Source organism: Homo sapiens, chromosome 15 (assembly GCF_000001405.40).
Source record: "Homo sapiens chromosome 15, GRCh38.p14 Primary Assembly".
Lineage (NCBI taxonomy): Eukaryota > Metazoa > Chordata > Mammalia > Primates > Hominidae > Homo > Homo sapiens.
This window is the reverse complement of record NC_000015.10, coordinates 60878996-60902085: the sequence shown is the minus strand read 5'-3', so window position 1 is coordinate 60902085 and position 23090 is coordinate 60878996. Positions and strand designations below refer to the sequence as shown.

At 43.4% G+C, this 23090-nt stretch overlaps 1 protein-coding gene across 2 annotated transcripts in view, besides 1 other annotated feature; it reads left to right on the top strand.

Annotated features, from left to right (window-relative positions):
- RORA (RAR related orphan receptor A) overlaps positions 1–23090 on the top strand; it is a 741019-nt gene that overhangs the window by 327217 nt on the left and 390712 nt on the right. The window lies entirely within an intron of this gene.
- Positions 2433–2672: an enhancer, noted in NCBI's record as "active region_9518". NCBI's record gives its function as "activates an Ori minimal core promoter by ATAC-STARR-seq in GM12878 lymphoblastoid cells {active_cell/tissue: GM12878}" and the evidence as "EXISTENCE:reporter gene assay evidence [ECO:0000049][PMID:35858748]".

The window sequence follows — 23090 nt, the reverse complement described above, 5'->3', positions numbered from 1 at the left end:
TGTCTAATTCATATTTCAGTAGTAGCATAGAAAATGAATCTGATTCACTATGGTTAATTAGCCTCCGGGTTCCCAAGGTGTGAGCTGAGGCACCCTGGACATTGCAGTGGCCTCAAAGGGGTGCCAGGAAATATTTTAAATAGTTGAGGAAAATACAGCAATTCTTGACATCTGTCAGGCACCGTGTGAACTACTAGCTCAAGGTAGTTCACAGTTTCACTACTGGAATGCATAACTTTCTTTCAGTGATGTCATACCTTTGAGAAGCTAAGTTCTTGTCAGTTGCTGTATTATAAAACAGGACCATGTGAAAATCAGTGTGGAGCAGGAAACAAGGGTGAGGGCATCCAACCTGATGCCAGAGTTTGAGAAGTTGCGTAGTGCCCAACAGGCTCATGCATCTCACTATTAAGCACTTACGATTATTTAACAGTGAATGGGACTCATTTTTCTTTTAGTTTATGTGTATTCTTTTTTTCAGAAATCAAGTTGTTAGGACATAAATACTTGTTAAGTTATTTGGGTGTAATTTACAAATAAACAGAACTGTTAGATATTTCTTTCAGCTGAGATGGGCTGTAAAAATGGACAGAACCATTAGGAACATCATGAATCGCCGGGCGTGGTGGCTCACACCTGTAATCCCAACACTTTGGGAGGCCGAGGTGGGCAGATCACCTGAGGTCAGGAGTTCGAGACTGGCCTGGCCAGCATGGCGAAACCCCATCTCTACTAAAAGTACAAAAATTAGCTGGGTGTGGTGGCTGGTGTTTTTAATCCCAGCTACTCAGGAGGTTGAGGCAGGAGAATTGCTTGAACCCAGGAGGGAGTGGTTGCAGTGAGCTGAGATCGCACCACTGCACTGCATCCTGGGCGACAAGAGTGAGATTCCATTTCAAAAAAAGAAAAAAAAAATCATGAATCAAGATCATTTAAGACTTTCTCACTTAGTGTAAAAGGTAAATGATCAATGTCCATTACTGAGTAAATGACAAGAAGTATTTATTGTGTGCCTTCTACATATAGGCATAATTTCAATACTAAACACATATGCACACACATGCACACACACCTAAGGAGAGGTGGAAAGGAATAATATTCAGGAAGTAGTATGTGTCAGGGGCAGATACTTTACATGTAACCTTATTATATCTATGCAAAAACCTAGGAGGAAGGCCATATGGTCCTATTTTTTTTTATTTTTTATTTTTTTTGAGATGGAGTCTTCCTCTGTCACCCAAGCTGGAGTGCAGTGGCACGATCTCAGCTCACTGCAACCTCTGCCTCCCTAGTTCAAGCAATTCTCCTGCCTCAGCCTCCCGAGTAGCTGGGACTACAGGCGCACACCACCACTCCCAGCTAATTTTTGTATTTTTAGTAGAGACGGGGTTTCACCGTGTTGGCCAGGATGGTCTCGATTTCTTGACCTCATGATGCACCCGCCTCGGCCTCCCAGAGTGCTGGGATTACAGGGGTGAGCCACTGCACCCAGCCCATATGGTCCTCATTTTATAGATTATAAGGCAGTTTTGGAAATAAGATATATGCCCCAAACACACATGAGTAGTAAGTGAAGAGTCCCGTATTGGACCCAGCTCTATCTGACTCTGAGGCATATTCAGCCTCATGCTACCAGTTGTACTAGACTGTTATGACAGCAGTATTAAAATAGCAATCCACATTTTTCAACATCAATGTAGAAGATACCATTTAAGGAAGTCTGTGTAACTTGTGTGCTGTAACTTGTGTGCTGTTGGGCTACTGTTTATGTTTTCCTGTGCTGATCATTTTGTGTGCGTACCGAAATCTGTATGTGAGCATACATTTTAATTCTTCCCTTTTCTCCTAATGATGTGACTAAATCATTTCCTTTTGAAACATCCCATCTGGCAGACAATAAATGACCTTTCCCATCTTGGACTTTGTAGTTTGTACTTAACCAAGTCAAAAAGCGCCAAATGATGCCAGTTGTATTATGGTTGTGAGGATGTGTGATAGTGAAGCTTAACCCACAGCAATTAAAGCAACTCAGAAAAGGAGCTGTCTATTCAGACTAATGAGGAAAGGCTATCTTGTTCTTTTTAGGAACAACTAAAATAATTCTGCAGAAAATTTGCTTTACTGGCCTTTGCATAAGGAAAAACAGGCTCTGGAATAGAAGCTAGCATGACCCTGCTTCTCCCACTCTGCTATATTGGCTGTATTAGGGAAGGCCTTAACAGCATCTCAACAAAGAGTTTGACTTTGTGGTCTGACATTTGTATAATGGATATTCTGTACACACATTCCCTGGAATTTGTTGATTTAGAGATTACTCAAACTCCATCCTGATAAAGCTCTATTTAATCTGGGTTTACTTAGTCGTTGGTTTAGTTTGAAGTGCGGGGAGTTGTTTTGGAAAGTAGGTTGCTACTTGTGGTGAAAAGGCTTTTTGCTGACGTCCTTACCTGGTGGAATGGTAAGAGGTGGTTTCAGTAGATGGCCAAGCATTGGATCAGATATCTGTCAACCTAACTTGAAGAGAAAGCCATGAAAGAAGTGTGGCTAAAAACTGCTGGGTTATGCTTGCTCAGGAAACTCCCTGTCTGGGTCACTTACCTTTTATTACTAACTTTTCACTCAGTCACTATACTGGATTTCCCCTTTTTCCTCTCAGAAAATTAGTAAGCATGTCATTTCCTATCCACATCTATGCATTTCAATCAGATAAGAGCTGTGAAGGTACCACGTCCATGTTGGACCATATACTAAACATTGGCTTATTGCATGATGTGCTTTTGACATGCCCAGGTAGCTGAATGCAGAGTTCCATGCTCTTCATATTGAGGGTGTTTGAAACTGGTATATGCAGTTACTTCTATGAGATCTTCCCTGGGAGATACTACAGAAGGATGAAAGAAGATGAAGTTGGAAAATGACATGTGTAAAACATGATTACCTATTGGCTGCCCTGTCAAGGATAAGACGTGGTTTCTGTTGCATTGCGAACAACCCCTAGTGGTCTGCAGATGAGCTGCTGCTCTTTGCCTCCATAAGTAGGGTGTTTGGACCACCCCTTACTCAAATGCTAGTTTACAGTGGCATGAATGCATTAACTTGCTGGGTGCTTTCTGGAAGCTCAAGGGAATATCTACCATGGTCTCATCTATTAGTAAGCCTGAGAACATGCATTCATTGACCCCAAACCCATCCCCTGTGCCCTCATATCCGCTTCCTGAAAACTGTATGCTAGATAGAACCTTTTCATAGTCATTTTGAATAGATATTCTTAGAGCACTTCACCATCCAGCCTATGTGATGTTTCTCAAAAACCAAAAAAGCCAGAATGCATTGCCTTGTTTTCTGAAGAGTTCTGCCTTTCCTGCCTCCATTTCTCTCTTTTTTTTTAAGAGTTAGAGTATCACTCTGTCACCCAGGCTGATGCAGTGGCATGATCATAGCTCACTGCAGCCTCAAACTCCTGGGCTCAAGTGATCTTCCCGCCTCAGCCTCCAGGGTAGCTGGGACTATAGGTGTGTACCACCAGTCCTGACTAATTTAAATTTATTTATTTATTTATTTATTTATTTATTTATTTATTTATTTTTAGAGACAATGTCTCACTGTGTTGCCTAGGCTATTCTCAAAGCGATCTTCCTGCCTTAGCCTTCTGAGTTTCTGGGATTGCATTTGTGAGCCACCGGGGCCAGCTCCCCTGCCACCATTTCAACCCTGAGAAAATTATACAGAAAGATTTACCAGTTTATTTACTTCTCTTCCTACAACCTAGAACAAAGCCTGTGCCTCCAGTAAAGAGAAGGCCTCCAAAGCCTAAAGACCATCCTGACCCTGCCCCACACATTCTTTGGAGTCATCAGAACTCAGTTTGAATCTTATTCCTGTCATTTACTGATATGCAGTTGAGCCAAGCTGAGCCTCTGCTTCTTTGGCCTGTAAAGTGGAGAAAAGTATTCTTCATTGTGCTCTCATCTCATCTATTGCATGAGGCAGTACACCTAAAATCCCTAGCACATAGTAGATTCTAAACAATTACAGCTTCCTTTCCTAATCTTACAGTTTTTTGACTACTTAAGATCCCATGTTCATCATTTTTGTTACTCCTGGATAGACTTAGAAGGAGGTAAAGGTGGAGGGAAATATCAAGTCTTTTTCTAATCCAATATGGGCTCTATCTTTACTTTTCACAGGGGTCATCCTCTATTTATTATGGGTACAATTTTTCTTTGTCCTATTCCATCACTTTGGTGCTTAACAGGAAGCTCAAAATAGACTGATCATGGCTGAGACTTAGCTCCTTCGCTGTGTAAATTTTCACACTGCACATGTTCCAGGTTCATCCTCTTTCATTTAAGTTTCATCTTTTTGAGGGAAGTGCAATTTCATCAGAATACCTACATAAATACAATTCACATGTCATAGGGAAATCCAAAGGCTTCAATTTGGGGGCTCAAAAAGATGTCTTTAGCTGCAGGGCATCTATCCAGTGGATGTGGAATACAGAAACATGGGTTCATCCCTGAGCAAGGGTAAATCAGACATGGAAACTTTTATCCTCACCCCCAGAATAGGGAGTCCTGGTCTCTGGAACCATTACTGAGGTCATTGGTTCATGCTTTTCTTTACATATTTACCTCGTATTTACACCCCTCTTCCTCTACAGGAGAAGGATTTGAGGCAACTGTTTAACTTATTCTGGAGTGAAATGGAGATTAATGTGATACCTCCTGATTACTCATTAACCCCACAGGCAAAGATCTCTATATGTCATTTTTGAGATAATGAGTGAAAGGCCCTGATATGTAATAAGTTAGGGCAGAACTGGAGTGAAATTTGTAAAACTGTGGGTAGACCTGGTGATCCACAGATGAGTGAAGTGGCAGAAGATGGCCCTCCTAGCCCCTTCTAGGGCTTTCTCTCTTTTCTATGGCTCTTGCCTCCACTCTGCAGTCCTGTTTTCCAAGTGACTGGAACTCTCCTTGGTCCCACTACCGCCCATTAAACAACATCGAAAACGTCTCCCACCCCACCCCAGACCCCAGGACCCACTCCTGAAGCTGCCTTCTCCAGGATGTGCCCTGGTTTCTCCTCTGTCTTCTCAACCTTGGGTAGATATTCTGTCCTGACCATCTCTCCCTGAGCAGCCACCTCATGAGAAAGGAAATTTTCTTATTGAGTACTACCCAAGTGTCAGGCCCCACTTAGATAAAGTGATAGAGCTGAGCCTCTTAGAGGTTAAGTGACTTGCCCAACTTCATGGTGCTAGGAAATGACAGCTCTTGAATTTCCACTCAGGCCTGTGTCATTCCAACCCTAAATTCCCTTGGCTATGCAGCCAAAAAAAAAAAAAAAAAAAGCTAAATTCTCCAGAGTCTTGCTAATTAAACAGGCTTAATGGGTTGCCTCTCAGAATAATTTAATATTAAAAGGGTATTTCTGGACTTGAAAGTGTCTTAAGGATTTTGCAGTGGTGAAATTTTGGGTATAAGGTAGATTGGGAAGGGAAATATTTTGGGGTTGGGATTTCTGATTACTCACTCATGTCACACATGCTAAGGAATGGCCTAGTATAGTAATGCCTAAAACCAGGCCTGTAACTAAGACTTCCTGTGTGGGTATCAGGAGAAATATTTATGTCTGACAAATGGATGTTTTTAAAGGGTCTAATGGAGGAAATGGAAAGTTTAGAAATGCAGTCTATAACCAAGGGGGGTAAAATCAATGCTTATTCGCATATGGACTGTTGTGCAAGTGTGTTAGCTTTCCATTGATTGGTACCAACGATGTCTAAGATGCGTTAGCTTTGAGTACTGATAAGATAAAAAAGGCTTGGGCAGACAAAGAAGAGTGTGACCATCTGGGAAGCAGACAGGAAAATGGCCTTGCCAGGTCACCCTCTCATGAGGATCAAACTCCAGAGTGTCTCTAAGTGCTTACAGGATGAGTGGGTCTTCTCTGAACACTCACTTAATGAACAGAGACAGACCTCTGTAATCCAGTGTCATAGACTCCAGAGACTGCCCAGAAATACAGCATGGGCCCCCACGATGATTATAAGAGAATGAATAAGATGACCCTTTACTGATGGAATTAAAATGTGTGCCCCTAGAAGGCTGCCATTGAAAAGGTTTGGGATTAGCAGTGTTTGCTTTTTTCTAATTAAAAAACTGAATCACCTACGCATTTTTAAGGATGAACTTTAAGCTCTTGCCTCACAAAATGAACAAATTGAGCAGTGAAGCCTTAAGAAAATGAGACCAAAAGTGGAACAAGGTAAAAAGTCAAAGTAAGAGCCCTAGCTTATACTAATTGTTAGGAGGGAAATTGCTGAGGCTGTACTTGACCATGTGCGTTGTATGGGCAAGCCTCTGAAACATGCACTCCATGCCTGTAAAGAGTTATTTCCAGCCACTGACTTTGCCATGAATGACAGAGTTTATTTTATTTTATTTTTTAAATAAAAAGCCTCAGCCTAAGGAAATACTTTGCTCCCACAAGATGCCGAGCTATTGAAAGAGCCATTCTGAGAGGGGGGTGGAGGCAGGAGAAGTATATTTTCTAAGATTTTCCGATACTAAAACCCATTTACGACTGTTGAGAAAAATCTCTCTGACGGAGGATTTAGCTCTCACTAATCCTTAAGTGACTTGTTTTGACAGAGCCTTTATAGGAGATTTTCTCAGTAACTTTGGTTTGCTCTAAAGGAGCAATTACTGATTTGTCCTCCAGCTCCTTCTTTTTCTAATTTTTTTTCTTTTTTAATATATGCCAGTTAATGAACTTCATGTATGTTCCAAAATAGCAAGTGAATCCGATCAGAACTGTTTACTGTAAAAATTCAGGAACCTTTGGATTGTCTTGGATCTTCCGTTCGCTTTCTTGCCTCCGGGTATCAAGGACCTGGATTTCATTTCGTGTGTCATGTGGCCTTCTCAGCAGATTCTTTGACTTGAGCTTGTGGAAATCGAGCCCTACTTTCTATTTACACTGTACTTTCTCTACATAAAGACATTTTCAACTGCTTGAGGAATGAGCATGGGGACCCCAGGTTTTTAAGCCTTCTGGTGTTTGCTTTTGCTCAGACAGGCATTATCTTTTTAGAGGTGACTGTAGCAGCTGGAGGACACTGCTTACCTCCCTGTTTAAGGCACTGCTTGATGCTGTGACAACGAGCCCTGGTGTCTGTGCGATTTCATTTCCCGCCTTGCCTGCTGTGCCTGTGCAGGGATGTTTAAGTTGCACCTCACATTCTTGCTTCTATATTTTAATGAAGTCCTAACACCAGGGGAGGCCTGAAAGTGTCTTTTCAGCCCAGAGGTTCCCAAAGCATGGTTCCCCAGGCCAGCAGCATCAGCTCCTGGGAACGGGCTAGAAATGCATATTCTCAGGCCTTGCCCCAGACCTGCAGAATCCGAAAGTCTAGGGAGGGAGCCCAGCAATCTGTTTTCACAAACTCTCCAGGTGATTCTGATGCACACTAGCGTTTGAGCGGCAGTTTTCTGATCCCCTTGCTCATCCTCCAGGAAGACTGCAAAGGAACCATCCTCCAAAATAACCACCACCTACTCCCTCAAAAATCCTCAGTTTGTGACTCCACGCCCAATTTTGCTTTGTGACTTCGGAAGCCTCATCTGCAGTTAGATTTCTGGTCCTAATTTATGACTGTGTTCACTAATTTTTTTTCTTAATGTCAGAAAACCGTGCCAGTTACAGGATTGTCGTTAGGGTGTGGCGGGAGAGATTGATGACTTTTCACGAAAGTGTACAAAACTCTGGACAAGCATTAACATATTGCATTTTAAATTATTCTTGATACTTTTTTGAAAGCCGCCTGCTTTAATCCTCTTGTCAGGGAGCTGCCGTGTTAAAAAATGATCGCTGAAGCGGCTTTGCCAGCTTCACATGAAAAGTGAAGCGGTGAGGGCTCTTCACAGGAAGAACTCTGGCTGCGGGCCGCGTGGCTGGTGGAGGGAGTCTTTGGAGAGAGTGGGCAGCCATGACATGGCTTCTGAGGAGAGGAGCATCATGGGAAGTGTCTGGGGGTGGCCATGGGGTCTTCCCGCAGGCACTTTAGCGATCAAAATGGCTGCTCGGCCGAGGTGGCAGCTGCTGTGGGCTGTGAAGAAGATGAAGGGGCCCAGACGGGGGACTTGAGAGGTCTGGGTTTGGGTCCTCCTTTTCTCATCGCCAAGTTACATAACCTTGGGCAGGTCCATTAGCATGTCTGACTTTTAGTTTCCTCATTTATAAAATAGAGGAGGTTATGCCAGGTGACCTCTAAAGATCCTTTCAGCTTTAAAATTTATGATTCTGGGATTTCTTCTCCCATCTGACTTCCTGCACTGCCCTTTCCCTTGTACACAGGAGCAGCTGAATTTATTGATCCCCTAGAGGCTTTGTCACCCACTTCTTCCTTCCTTCAGCCCCCGCTTCCCTTAGGAGCCTCTTTCTTAGAGGGCTTATCCAAAATTTAAAATTTTTTAAAAACGCACACACACACCCAGACAAACGGATACAAGGGAATCCACTTGGAAATTCAACTGCATATCGGCTGCTTTGATTTCTTGTGGAGGGGTAAGGTGGGCACCTAAAGAAAATAGAAAGTCAGGGGCGGTGCCAGGAGGAGTTTCGCAGGGGCGCGGAGTGGGGGTTTGGTTGTCCAGAAACCCTTCAGAGAAACTCCAAGTGAAAATGTTTAATACCCTCTTCCCTCAGAAAACCAGGGCTCCCAGCCTAATCCCATTCCCTCTTGCCTTGTCCTCTGAAGAAACTGAGCTGCTAAAAACACAGCAGAGGTGAGACAAAGGACATGGCTGCTAATTGCTGTCGAGCATCCTGGGATAGGGGGTTTGGGGAATGTCCTATCATCAGCTCGCATTTGCTTCCAGTTCTGGGAATTCTCACGTCTTTGGTTAAAGCTGTGTCCTTGGGTAACCTGGTGAAGCAGGTCATTTGATGTTGAAGCACATAACAGGAGACACCCTGGTGATTCTCTTCAGCCTGCTTTGCTGGACTGAAGTTTAAAGGTTAGATGACCCTTTGCAAGCTGAGGCTATGCTGGGAGAATTCATCTGGAATCCCAAACTCTCACAGAAGCAGAGGGCAATGGGAGAGGGGGTGGGCAGGCAAATGTTATGTGTTTCTCACCATTTAATCGCTCACGTAAGTGCATTATAGAATCCGATACAATGTTCCAGCTAAATTTATGTGACGTTGATGGTAATGCGACAACTTCTTGTCAGGCTGGGAGCATGCCAACTTTCCTTCCCTTTTACCTTGTAACCTCCTGAAACTGGAACTCACTGGAAAATTTCTTTCACAGTAAGATAGGGAAAGAGTTTATCTAATGAAACCATTCTAAGTATATTTCTTTGTCAGGAAAGTTTCAGCCTCTAGAGTGAAAGGAGTGAAGGATGAAGTTGGAAAATGTGGCTTCAACTTCCTCTACTTTTCCTCCCTGACACAGAGGTGTAGGCATCCATTTTGATTGTATATTCGTGATACCAGGAGAGTCAGCTCGAAGTCTTCATTTTAACCTGGGTAATAGACACTGGTGGTACCAACAGTGCTCACTTAAAAAAAGCATAAAGGCGGGGACTTTTGGAGGATTGGGCAGGAGAAAACATTATAAGGCACGGGTTCAGGTGAGTGGGTGTCCAAGCAAAATTGCAAAAGCTTCAAGTTTTTCTTCACTGGCTCCTTCACTATATAATTACCCTCCTCCCCTGGAAAAAAGTTAAAAATATGTTAAGAGTTTCAATATTCCTGATTTAGAATCTTTGGGAATCTTATTTAAATGGAGTACTTGCTTAGGAATCCCAAGACCTGGAATTCCCATCTGAGTGTGCTGTTACCCAGCCTTGTAACACTGGGCAAGACATTTCCCATCTTTCAGCCTCAGGTTCCTCATCTGCCTAATGAAGATGTTGGCCTCATCAGGAATGGCTAAACTTCAACCCACACCCTTAAATGGCAGGCATCCGTAACTGACTGCAGCAGTCTTTCCAATGGATTCTGGATGAGGCCTCGGAATCATTCTCAACACAGCGCCTGCCCCAAACAGCCATAATTCTTTTAGAGCTTTTTTCAAAGATGAAACTTCTTTGTCATCTTCCTCTGGAGGAAGCTTGGAAATTGGCAGGATATCATCAGAGCTTGTAGGAGTGGTACTAAACCCACCCTGAAGGTTTGGGAAGCCACGAAGGCATCCAGGAGGTGGTGACCATAAAGCTAAATCTTGGAAAATGAGATACATTTTTAGGAGAAGGGAGAAAGGATTTTCTTAGCACAAAGAACAGAAAAACCAAAGGCAAGAAGCTAGAAAACAGCATGCAGAGTAGGCTGCATTTATAATTTGGTGGAGTAAAGGAGTCACGTGCAGAATAGCAGGAAATGAGGCTGGAAAGACAGGCAGAGGCCAGAGCAGAGTGGGCACTGGAGGACAGGCTTTGGAGGTGCAGTTCACTGACTGTCCTAGTCCTTCATGCTCCTGCCTTGCCACCTACTTACTGGCTGATGGTTTCTGAGTCTCCGCCTCTTGCTGCCCGTTTGACTTTTCTACTGTTCCTGGCTCTGACTTTCTCTGGAGCTAATATTGTTCCTCTCATGTCTGTTGTCTGTGTGATGTACCAGGTGCTGAGCCTTGACCTGAGGGTCTCCCTGGATGCTTCTCTGTTCCTGCATATTCAGAGCAGCTGCCCATCAGTTTTTCTACTTTGTATGTACATCTGACTCTTCACTGTCCTTTCACCCTCTCCCACTGCACACATGCACACACACAATGTGCACACACACGTGCACATACATACACCCACATATCAGATCTGAAGTTTACATCAAGGGTGCTTTGGAAATATTACATAATGATAGCTTCCTTCAGATAAAGTTTGGGCCAGTTACAAAAAGAAAAATGGGCTCATTTGCAGGATCATATTGGCTCACACATGGTAGAGGGTCCTTTTGAGGCTCTAATGGGCAGGCAGCTGATTCTAACAGCAGAATTCTGGGTCCTTGATCTTCCCGAGACATCTCCCCCCTGTTTTGAACATTAGCTGTGGTGTGGGTCCTTCCCACGGAGAACTGTGAATCCTATTCAACCGCCTCCTTGTGATTTGGACATGAACAGGGAGCTTTCTCTGTCTACTTAATTCCCTTTGAAAGCTTTCTCGTCCCACTATTGGGCACTTCAGAGAGAGCACTGCATTAATATCTTCTGCTCTGGTTTCAACTTGGTATGGTTTTGTGATCTTAAAATAGATGGAATTACCACGGCAAGCATTGTTCTGCCTTGAACTTAAAGTCTCAAGAGCAAGTACTTCTAAAAAAGTTAATCCTTTCTTATTTGCAAGGATTCTGGCCTGTAGTTTACAAAGAAATATGCTAAATTATTTATAATCCAGGATTACTGCAATGCCAAAGATTTCCTTGCATAACATCCCAGCATCACTAAAATGGCTCAAAAAGAACAGCCCTCGGCCACACCTTATCACCACTGCTCTCTCTGGTCCCTGTGAAGGGGCCCCGAGCAGGGCGATGGTGGCTGATGCCCTGACCACAGGAACACATGTTCTCCTCTGCAGCGTCATCCTCCATGGCTTATGTGCTCACAATTCTGCTGCTGGGGCCTCCAGGGCAAGAGAAAAGCGGAGATGGTGTGGACAAGCGGTACACCTCTTGATGGCAAGCATGCAATTTCTTCCTTATTTAAAATTTGTGTACTCTGCATTCTTCTGAGGGGAGTTGGTGTGGTCTGTAGTTAAAGAGTGGCATTAAATGGGACATTTTAGAAATATGCAGTATTCCAGGCCCACCTCCACTATTAACTTTGAGAAAACTCATTGAGCTCTCAATTTTCCCACATGTAAAATAAGGGGGTTAGAATAAATGAACGTGAAAGTGCCTTCAGCTCTAACATCAGGTGACTTTAAACAAGTACTGATATAATGCAGGGATGCGTATGTGCATAGCACAGACAGTTGGAAAATAAGACTGACCTCTCAGGGACTTACTATGGAAAGATAGACTCCGAGAATCCCAATAGGGCCTGCCTTCAGTAGGGAACCTTCCAGAGTACATGAATACATGTATGATACATTTTCCTCTATTTTCAAAGTTGGTAAATTACTTGATGCTGTTTAATAATCTCTTATTCTTTGTGTGTCACAAGTAATTTTATATTTTTAAGTTATTTTTACGTCCGTTGCCATCCAAAAGAGTTGTCGTGATTTACGTTTCCAGTAGTAGTGTATATTGGTTTCTGTGTGTGAGTTCATACATAGAAATTTAACTCTGGTATAAATTTAACTCTGCTAATGGGCAAAGGTGAAGGGGAGGAGGTGGAAACTGTGTTGTTCTGGTTTTGGTCTGTTGCCCTTCAACATTTTAACTTGGGGGATTGTGTATCTTTGCCTGCAAGGCCGTCCAGATCTAAGTTCCAGGGGCGTTGGTGCCTCCCAGGCATCCTCCCGCACAGCGCAGCTCTCATTTGGGTTTACCACGAGGCCTCTGATGCTCTTCTCTCCAACTGTCGCTCTCCCCAACTGTTCAGCCTTTGCCTTCGTACAACTGTGCATTTTGTTCTCTCCCAAATAAATGGATGTCCCAGCACTCACTAGGAAGTCTGCAAGGCAGTGAAGCCTAATTCACCAGGGTTCTGAGAGGAAAATGAACAAATGAGTGCCAGATGCCTAACATGCTCCCTGGTATTCCAGAAGGGGGGATTTCCTTCCCCCCCCCCCCGCCCCACTCCCTTCCCTGTCTTTCTCTCTAAGCACCAGTTTCCTCTTCTGCAAAAGGAAGCTTGCCTAGATGTCAGTCCCTGCACAAGCACTGAGTGAACCCCCTCTCTGTGCTGGGCGTGGTGCTGGAAGCACAGCACCGGAGAATCTAGTTCCTGCCTCGAGGAGTTCAAGTGGGAAGTAGTCAGCTGCAGCCAGGATAATGGTGGGGTAAACACAGCATAAGTGTGCGACATGGGAGGCAACTCTGACCCTGAGCACGGGGCTAGGGGTGGCAGAGAAGGGTCAGGAGAGGTGCCTCTGAGGTGGCCCCATTTTCCTTAAGCATCTCTTAAACAGCGTGAGCAGCTTCTGATCCCAGTGGCTTTCTGTACAATTGAAGACGCATTGTTTTTCTGTGGTGAAGGCTCCTACTCTGCCCCCACCCACCCTCCCACTCCTCGGAGCAGGAATGTGTGAGGCTCCCTCTGCCCATCCCCTGGTCAGATCTCTCTGCCCCATCCTCTCTGGGCAGGAGGCCTGCTGCTGGCTCAGGAAGGGCTCATCAAGAAGCAGGTTCACCTCTCCCGGAGCACAGACAGCTTTTCTCTGTGGCTCACTCTAATTGACAAGCACCCGCCTGATGTCTTAAAGGGAAAGAGAATCTTGAGGAGAGCCAGAAACAGCAGGGCTGAAAGAGCCGTGGGGTGAAGGATATAATCGGCCACACTGTGCCCAGAAATGCCATGTGTAGGGCGGGCCAGACGGCTGCTGTTACCTTGTGGTTTGGGTTTGATTTTATTCAGTTGCGGAAACATAATCATCAGCTGCTTTCCCTGAGAAGACTGCCAGTGTGAGTGTGTGTGCATGTGTGTGTTTGCATGTGTATATGTGCGTGTGTGTGTGTGTGCATGTGCACACGTAATCTTCCTCTCCCTTTTCGCCCCGTGTAACTCTTCCTTAGCAGTCACACATGTCCTTTTCACCACACTGAAAGAACGTGGTAGAAACACCTTCTCCAGGGACTGGTGACCAGGCCCACCGGCCTGCTGCCCTTGCTTCAGGTCAGGCCAGTGTCCCCTGAGGTGGGGTGGTCAGACCTGACAGGTTTGGGACCGCCCAGCTGGGACCCTGAAATACTCACCTGGAGTTGATGGAGCAAGAGGGCAGGTACAACAACAACAGAAAGCCCTTGCTCCATTGAAGTGTTGTGCATCCAGCCGATGAGACAGCATCCGTGGCCGGGTATGTATGAGGCAAGAAGAGAAGTTGGGAGCCTGGTGAACAAAGGGGAGGTTGAGGAGCAGGGCAAGGATGGAGAGAGACATTCCTGGGCTCTTTCCTAAAGGTCTGGCTGGGTTAGCTGGAGCTACTTTTTATTGGCTAAGTCGGGCTAATTTTTAGATTTTCTTCATTTTGGGCTCTTATTAGCCTGCTGCTTCTTAGATGCCCATATTGGACTACACGGAGTGCTAGACTATGTGAAGTAAGATGTGAGGGAATGTGGTTGGTCTTACGTGGAACAAAATACCATTGCTGGAACCTCCACATCTTCTCCTGCTGATGCCCGCAGCAAGGTGCCGGCAAGGTCATGATTCAGTGTTTGCAGGACAGCCCCACAGCCTGGATTAGTCCTTTGAAACAACCAACCTTTCATGCTAGTACTGTCCTGTGCCAAAGAGAGTGTGTTATTTTTAAAAACCCCTTCCCTCCATTCTGCCCGTCCAAATGCCAGATAACCACAAACGTATAACCACATAGAAAGAAATTGATGTCCCAGGAGTTACATCCAACATGCATGAAAAGATGCCATTTTTTCTATTCATTTTGTCCGCCTGCTTCTTTGTCATTTCTTTCTCTTTTTTCCTGCTCCTCTGCTCTTGTCTATAATATGTCACATTTGCTTCACTTTGGTTTGAAGAACTTGGGTTTCATCCTGGTATGAGTCTTCAATAATTCTGAGACTTCTGAAATTCCTGTAAAAACCCCGTTTAGCTTCCTTTTATCATGAAACAGGCATGCACCCCCCATGACAGCATGACAGTGCGAGTAGGAACAAGAGTATGTCTTCACAACTGGCCAAATAACTGGATCCCTTCAGGCCACGAAAGGTTGCAAATCTCATATGCTTTACATCTCTGTTAAAAGATCACAGATGTCAGAAAGGGACTTGAAACCTTTTTTTTCTAATTCCAACTCTCTTTCTCTCTCTCTCTCTCTCTCTCTCTCTCAGCTCTGGCAAAGGGAAGTATCTTGCTGACAAAGAAACCAGCTTTCTTCTGACCTGTCTTGGTTTTCATTTGTGATAACCTGATGAAGAGCAAATTACTTCCAGAAGCAATAAAAACTATCAAGGAAGACGATCTTGTAGCCGAGGAGCACAAGAGAGATAGTCACAGATGATGTTGTTCTAGTGGGCTGTTGGGTTTAAATGTGGCAACTGTGAGTGTCCTCTGGTCCTTGCAAAGGGTAGGGATTTCAAAGTTCTCAGTCGTCTTCCAAGTCTATGCCACAAACTCTTAGCAGGTGTGCCAAACCATTTCAGAAAGAGACTCAGTTGTCTAGGAAGAAGTTGTAACTATAAAATATCCCCATTGCAAAACCTGGATGAGGACACAGTCCTTTTAGTAATGTCTTAAGTTGTTCTTTCAGAGTTTTGATTCTTTCATCATCCTTACAATTGTTCATGCAAGAAAAGTTGCTTTTTTCATTACTGTTAGACCCACCTCAGATGGAGATCAAAGCTGTCTATATTGAGTAAACAAATGGGTTGACATATTTTGCAGGAGGAATTGAAATCCATGGTTGTCACTGGGTGGCCCTTGGCAGGCTGACTCTATAAGGAGTTTAACATAAGCAAGTGCAAGGAAAGGTTCCACAGGAACCACCCAGGCATGGAATTCGGGCCTTTCATGTGGGATATTTCTGCACTTGGTTGTAGGCAAAAGACGTTGCAGTGTATAGCCTTTGAGACCTAGTTACTGCCTCAGCCCTCGTGAGCTGTAGGACCGGGAGATGGGAAACATATCCAGGGGCCCCCACCTGCTCACCTTTGTCCAGTCACTTCAATGAAATCCCGAGTTAGAACCTTCTTCTTATTTTTACCATCTCAATTCTTAGAACTCCTTTTTGATCTTTTTTTAATGTTCATATTATGGGTGTTTAGATCATCTGCCTTACAAAAAACCATGTTCTTTGATTTTTTGGGGGAAATGTAATCTCCACATATAACAATTTCTCGGCTACTGAAGGACTTTTTGGATACCAGATATGGTTCTTTTAAAGATTCCCTCTATTTGCTGAAGGTCTAACAGTCAGTCAGGTGGAAATGTCAACAAGACAAACAGTGGGGAAGTGATTCCCTAGGAAAAGTCAGAGTGACCAGGAAATGAGGCAGCAGAGAAGCTGCCTGAGATTTGAAAATTGGACGTTAACACAGACAAGATGGCTCAGGGAGCACAGGCTGTGCATACCTCTTCCTGAGCTCCGTGCTTCACATTTGCTTTCTCATATAACAATTCCAACCATTCCATCAAGGCGATGTTGTTATCCTTGTTTTACACATGAGGAAGTTGAGGCTCAAAGAAGTTAGTAGTTTGCCAAAGTTATATACTGCAGAGCAAATGGCAAGGCTAAGATTTGAGCTGAGACAAACAGATAGCATTTGCATTGTACTGCATTCCGTAAAGACTACAAGTTGTGTTCTGTCGATCAATCTATCTGAAATATATATATTTTTGATTCAAAGCCAACATTGAAAGTAGACAGACATTGTCATCCTCTTGCCTGGACCAGACTGTCTATCACTGTAAAACACACTACTCCAGAATTCTGTAGCCAAAGCCGCAACCATTTTGTTATATCTCACAATGTTTCTTGGGTCAGGAATTCAGACAGGGCTAGGCCGGGCAATTCTTCTGTTCTGCCTAGCATCAGTTAGTCACTTGTTGGTATTCAACTGCAGCCAGGCTGCATTGAAGGGTCCAAGATGGCAATACTTGTATATCTGGTAACCTGGCGGGGATAGCTGGAAGTCTGGGGTTCAACTGCACACTCCATGTTTTCTGAGGTTATCTCTACATGGTTCTACTACAGAGTACTTGGACTTCTCATGTGGAAGATCAGGGCTACAAGAGAACATGATGGAAGCTATGAGTTCTCTTATAGGCTGAGCCCCAGATGGGCATGGCATCACTTCCACTGTACTCCATTTGTCAAAGTATTATAGACCAGTCCAGATTCAAGGCCAGTGGAAATCAAACCCACTTCTCACTGAAGGGAGCGTTAAAAATATATAGCCATCTTTAATCTACTACAGTCATATACGCTGTTTTCATAGAATGAAATGAAAAGGCTGCTTTTAAAGACAGGGCTTGCTATGGTCCAAACTATAAGGAAAACAACATTTGTTTTGGGGGCCTGTTATTTCTTCAGTGACTCCCACCTTCCTCTCACCCCTGGATTCCCAATCATCCTTGCTCTATGTCCCTAAAACCTGTGCTCAAAAACAATGAGACACTCATGACTCCCGTGCTCTTTTGGGGGCTGTTTTCATCTTGAGCTATAGCTCTAAATGAAGGAGGAAAGGATTTTTCTCTTGGTAAAGACATACTGTCTCAAAATTTTGGGAGGATGAAGAAGGCAAGAGAGAATGGGTTTTGACATAGGACCTTAATAGAGTCAATAAACTCCAGACCACTTCAGTAACTGCTAACTCTACCCCATGACAGTTACTGTGGGGCCCACCCTGTTATACAGGCTGTCCACATCTCCCTGTCTCTCTCCCTGTATCCCTCTTTCATTTTTTTCCCTCAGATTCTTTTGCTCTCTCTCCATACACAAATGTGGATTTATATTTTTAGATTTGTTTGTTTCTTCAGTCACCTCACCCAGATAACCACAAGTAGTCAAATATACATAAAATCACCAGGCATTTTTTTCTACTGGGTGACATAAGTATCCAGTCATTCCAGCAAAGGGGCAGATGACATTTTTCAGGGTTGCAGTCCCAAAGAGGCACTTTTGAAAAAAAAAAAAAATTCTACAAAGGATGTGAGAATCATATTCATGGGTCTGGGTTAACATTGGTCTTTTTAGGTTGTTCCAGAAGCTAGCCTCTCATGTCTGTGCCATTTTCTTCTTCTTCTTGTCCTTCTCTCTCTCTCTCTCTTTCTCTCTTTGGGATCCTTTTTTTTCTGTTCTATTTTGAGCACCACAGCATAGCTCTTTTATTCCATTTGTCAGCCACGGACGCAATCCAGTTGAAAAGCACCTCCAGCCTCTACGGCTGCCACAATGCCTCCAATACTGTGGGGGCCACTGGAGGCTATAACCAACGAATCTCATTTGTAGCTTCTCCATTGTTTTAGCTCTTGGTGTTACCAGTGGGAGAAAAGCTCAAATCAGAGAAGAATGCTGGAAGAGAAAACCAGTTTGACAAAGGAGTGCTGGCCGTCAATTGGCTAAATATAACACCCACACTTGGAATCCATGGTAGCCACATCGTGGTATCCCTCAGTTGCATCGTGGAATGGGCTTTCCAAGTACTCAACACCCTTTCGTATACTCTTTTGTACTCCATTTTTCTTTTTTACTTAAGTTCTCTGTTCCTTTACTTTTTGCACAAACAACACAATCTATCTTCTATTTATAAAAGTAGCACATGCTTATTGGAGAATCTTAGAAACATATTAACAGAAAAATAAAAAGATTCTAATTATCTGTAATACTGTCACTGATAACTATATTCATTTATTCATTTTAATCATTCAACAATAATTATTACATACCTACTGTGTGAACTTCTTTGGATACCAGGGATGCAGAAGGAATTGAAAAGGCAAGATCCCTGGCCTCATGGACTTCAGTTTAATGGGGAGATCAACACTGAAATAATGGAAAACATGATCTTTAACAGCTGCATACCATTCCATCATTTGCATATATTTGGGGTTAAACAAACACTTTTTAATATAATTTATGTATTTTGTTCAAACTATAATTTATTAAGCCATATTTTAGATATTTAATACTCTGAATCCATGTTGTCAGTTTTCCAAAAGAGTCCCTATTTGTACCACGTATCCATCCTTTTCCTATGATTCGTAATGCTGTTCTTGCTGTGCTCACACCGGCAATAAATACTAATCAAGCTAAATTCAACTGCATTTTATATAGGTTTTCTTTCTTTCTCTCTCTCTCTCTCTCTCTCTCTCTCTTTCTTTTTTTTTTTTTTTTTTTTTGAGACGATGTCTCTCTCTGTCGCCCAGGCGGGAATGCAATGGCTTGATCTCGGCTCACTGCAGCTTCCACCTCCCAGGTTCAAGTGATTCCCCTGCCTCAGCCTCCCGAGCAACTGGGATTACAGGCGCCTGCCACCAAGACCAGCTAATTTTTGTATTTTTAGTAGAGATGGGCTTTCACCATGTTGGCCAGGCTGGTCTCGAACTCCTAACCCATACCCTCAGGTGATTCTCCCACTTCGGCCTCCCTATATAGTTTTTCAAAATAAAAATAGTTTCTTATTCTTTCTGCTTATAAAATCAGTAAGTACTTATTGTAAAGCAAAACAAAAGTAACAAACCAAACAAATCTTGGCTGAACGTATCAGAACAAGGAGGGAAAATCAGTACAATCCTATGTCCAGCAGTAATCACCAGTTACGTCTAGGTGTGTATCCTTCTAGACCGTGTGTGTGTGTTTGTGTGTGTGTGTGTGTGTGTGTGTGTGTGTGTGTAGTTAAGCTCCATCTAAAGGGTAAGTCCTTTTAGAATAAACATGCTGTAGAGGAAATATATAGCACTACCTAACCTGAGTGCCGCATGTAGCTCTACCACCTCCAAACTGGGTAGTTCTAGGCAAATCCTGTCATCCCTTCCCTCCCTAGGCTTTGGCCTAGCAGATGCTTACTACTGTGTTCCACTTAGGCCAGAGTTTCTCAATCTCAGCACTACTGACATTTTGGTCCAGAACATTCTTTATCATGAAGGGTTGTCTGGTGCGTTGTAGGATGTTTTTAGCAACATCCCTGACCTCTGCCCATTAGAGGTCAGTGCATACTCCCCTCCTAGTTGTCGTAATCACAAATGTCTTCAAACATTGCCAAATATACCCTAGGGGACAAAATTGCCCCTAATCGAGAATGCCATTCTAGGCTGAAAAATACTATAATTCCGTGTCTAGTGAATTTTAGTGGTTGCAACGAAACAAAACTTTGGGTGTTCGCCAGCATGCTTTGTAGTGGGAGACATAAGAGATGGAAGATACAGAACAGTGGGGCAAATCAAGGCTGAAGCCCCACCTGGGTTAACTAGCACGGGCAGCATACTGGGGACAGTTCCGCAACACGTGCGCGGGAAGACAATGCTCTGAGCCATATTTAAGTCTCAGGTATCCATTCATGGTCAGTGGGTAGGAAAACACGTTTCTTTTGGAGTAGTTATATTGTAAGCCAACAAGGTGATGAATTATTGAATGGGTTCTTTTTGTATAAACATACTTATCATCTTTATTTTTCATCAGTTTTGTAATGAACAAGGGAAAGCAGACACACGAAAACATTTTGCAAAGAGCTTCAAATGTGAACTCTTTTTTGGTGAATGGCCCCCTGGTTTGAGGTGTTATTTCCTTCTTGAGTGGTCTCTCTGCTTCAAGGACACTTTTTAATGCAACCATTGTTCAGAAAAAGTCACCCTGTTTTCTAACTCTTTCCCTTTTACTCCCACTCTCTTTTCTCTCTGTCTCTCTCTCTCTCTCTCTTCTTGTTTTTTGGTGGTAAAAGAAAGGCTAGAGGTTTACTAAAAATGAAATGACAGTGACAGAGTGGCCATTTTGGGTTTTGAAATGTGCTTTGAGCCTCAGCTCTAATGGCCAGCCTCGCAGTTTAAGCCGTATCCTGATTTTCTAAGTCATGGTAAAATGGTGTTTCATCCAATGTAGAGTAGAGACTTCAGGACAGTTGAATATATTGAATCTCCCTTTGGGAGAAATGGTGGGCCAGCACTGGGTCCCAGCAGGGCTGGTCAGAGGTGCCTGTCTGGGGCCTCCTGGCCTGATGAGGGTCTCTCTCTAGTGGGGCTGGAAACAGCAGAGACAGTCATGCTGAGTGTGTCCAGATGTGGGAATGGCAGGAGCCATGCAGCTTAGGAGGCCATAGGGGTGTGGTGTGGCAGTGGGAAGAAAGACAAGTGCAGTCCAAGAGCAGAGGCTGACAATAAGAAAGGTGCAGCAAGGGTCCAAAGATCATGATGAAGTTTGGAGTCATAAGACTCAGTGTGGAAAAGGCAGAGTACAGAGCATTGTTTTCATCTCACTTCTAATTAATCCTTGTTTAGATCAGCATTTGTCTAACCATTGAGGAGTCCATAATGGGGTCTACAGAAGAGGCCTTGAGGTTAAAATAGGGGTGAGAGATAGAGGCTGAGGTGTCAGGTGGCAAGATTTGTTTTGTAGATTAGTACCTGCCTCACCTTTAAAGCAAGGCATACCCTAAGAAAAAAAGTTAAATGCATCGGCGGATTTTTTTATTTCTGGCTTTCTCAGGTCAGACACGTATTAAATTTAATTTCTTTGTGTTATGTTGAATATCTATAAAAACCAGTCTGTTGCTGATTATTGCTATATGCATATATTTTCTCCTTTTCCGGAGGCTTTGAGCTGGCCTACAACAAATCCATAAACTAACAATGGGAAAAATAGGTTGAATCAAATGAAGTTGTTGAAATTCATTGGTTTTTTTTTGACAGTCTTTCTCTGTCACCAGGCTGGAGTGCAGTGGCATGATCTTGGCTCACTGCAACCTCCGCCTCCTGGGTTCAAGCCATTCTCCTGCCTCAGCCTGCTGAGTAGCTAGGATTACAGGTGCCCACCACCACGCCCAGCTAATTTTTGTATTTTTAGTAGAGATGGGGTTTCACCGTGTTGGCCCGGACGGTCTCGATCTCCTGACCTCGTGATCTGCCCGCCTCGGCCTCCCAAAGTGCTGGGATTATAGGCATGAGCCACCGTGCCTGGTGAAATTCAAAGGTTTTTGACCTACATAAGTGACAGTAGGGTTGACCTAATAGAAATCATTGTTGAGAAATTAGGACCAAAAGTAAGATAGAGTGAAGAGGTGGATGCCAAACCAATGCCAGGGTGAGGAGTGGGTGAGGGAATAGAAATACATGGGCTTATAGACCTACAGGATTTCCAGTAGTTAATCCTTAAATGTTCCTGGAAACCAAAGAGTAAGGTGAGATGTGATTGGTCAGAAGAAAGAATTTCAGCCTCTGAGGGAGGCAGAACTGCTCCTTACAACTTACACATTTGTCTGTGTGCAGGCCATATTCTAGGACCCATGGGTGAAGGAGTAGATTACTTCTTCAAAGCATGCTTACAGGAGATGCAGTCACAGATTTTATAAATCTCCTTTATCTAGTGACCCAGTGACAATCCCACATTCATGGGGATGGCTTGTATGTGTGCTTTTAAAGGAAACAGCATTCTAAAATGGCACGTAGATGTGGAAGGTTTATGTTTGTGACTTATTTTACAAGTGGTGAAAAAGGAGATGATTTGTTTCTGCTAAGTAACATTTAAAAGCATTTCCTTTTAATATAGTGGAATTTCCAGAACCCTGACCCTAACCCTCAGTGCTATTAGCCTGTTAGACATAAATTTCATTGATATCCTCTGATGTCTGATCTCCATTGGTGCCACTTCGTGTCCTCTTAAAGTGAGTCCTCAAATTTGTTTCTGTAATCTAAATAATTAATCATAGAAACTAACTGTTCTTTTTAGGAAAAAATGCTTCAAATCATATAAATGTACAGTTCTATGATTATCAGGTTGCATTTAATTAGATGTTTAGAGTATCATTTTATTGACTTTTGACAGTTATTTGCTTTCCCTTCTCTAAGTAACACTAACACGAGCAGCTAATATTTCTAGCATTGATTGTGTGCCTGGCTCTGTTAAAGGCCTTAAATATATTATCTCATATACTCTACCCAACAGTCCTATGATGTATGGGTACCATAATTATTCTCATGTTACTGATGAACAAACTGAGGTTTGGAAAGGTTAAAAAAAGAAAAAAAAAACTTCTCCAAGGCCACCTGGTTAGCAACTAGCAACAGATTGAAACTCAGCACTGTGGGCCCCACTACCCTGGTTCTCTATTGCAGTAAACCCCTGCTCCCCTACAAAGATAGGTGATCATTCTTTGCTGCTGCTAGTGGAGATGAAGTGTATGCTTCTAACACATGGAAACAGTTGATTTTGTGACACAGGAACTTGGGCAGTAGAGGACCTTGGGAGCCAAGAAGACCAAGGCCAGCCAGATTTTAGAAATCATGACTCCAAGAAGTAGAAAGGTCATGGAGGTCTTCAGATCCT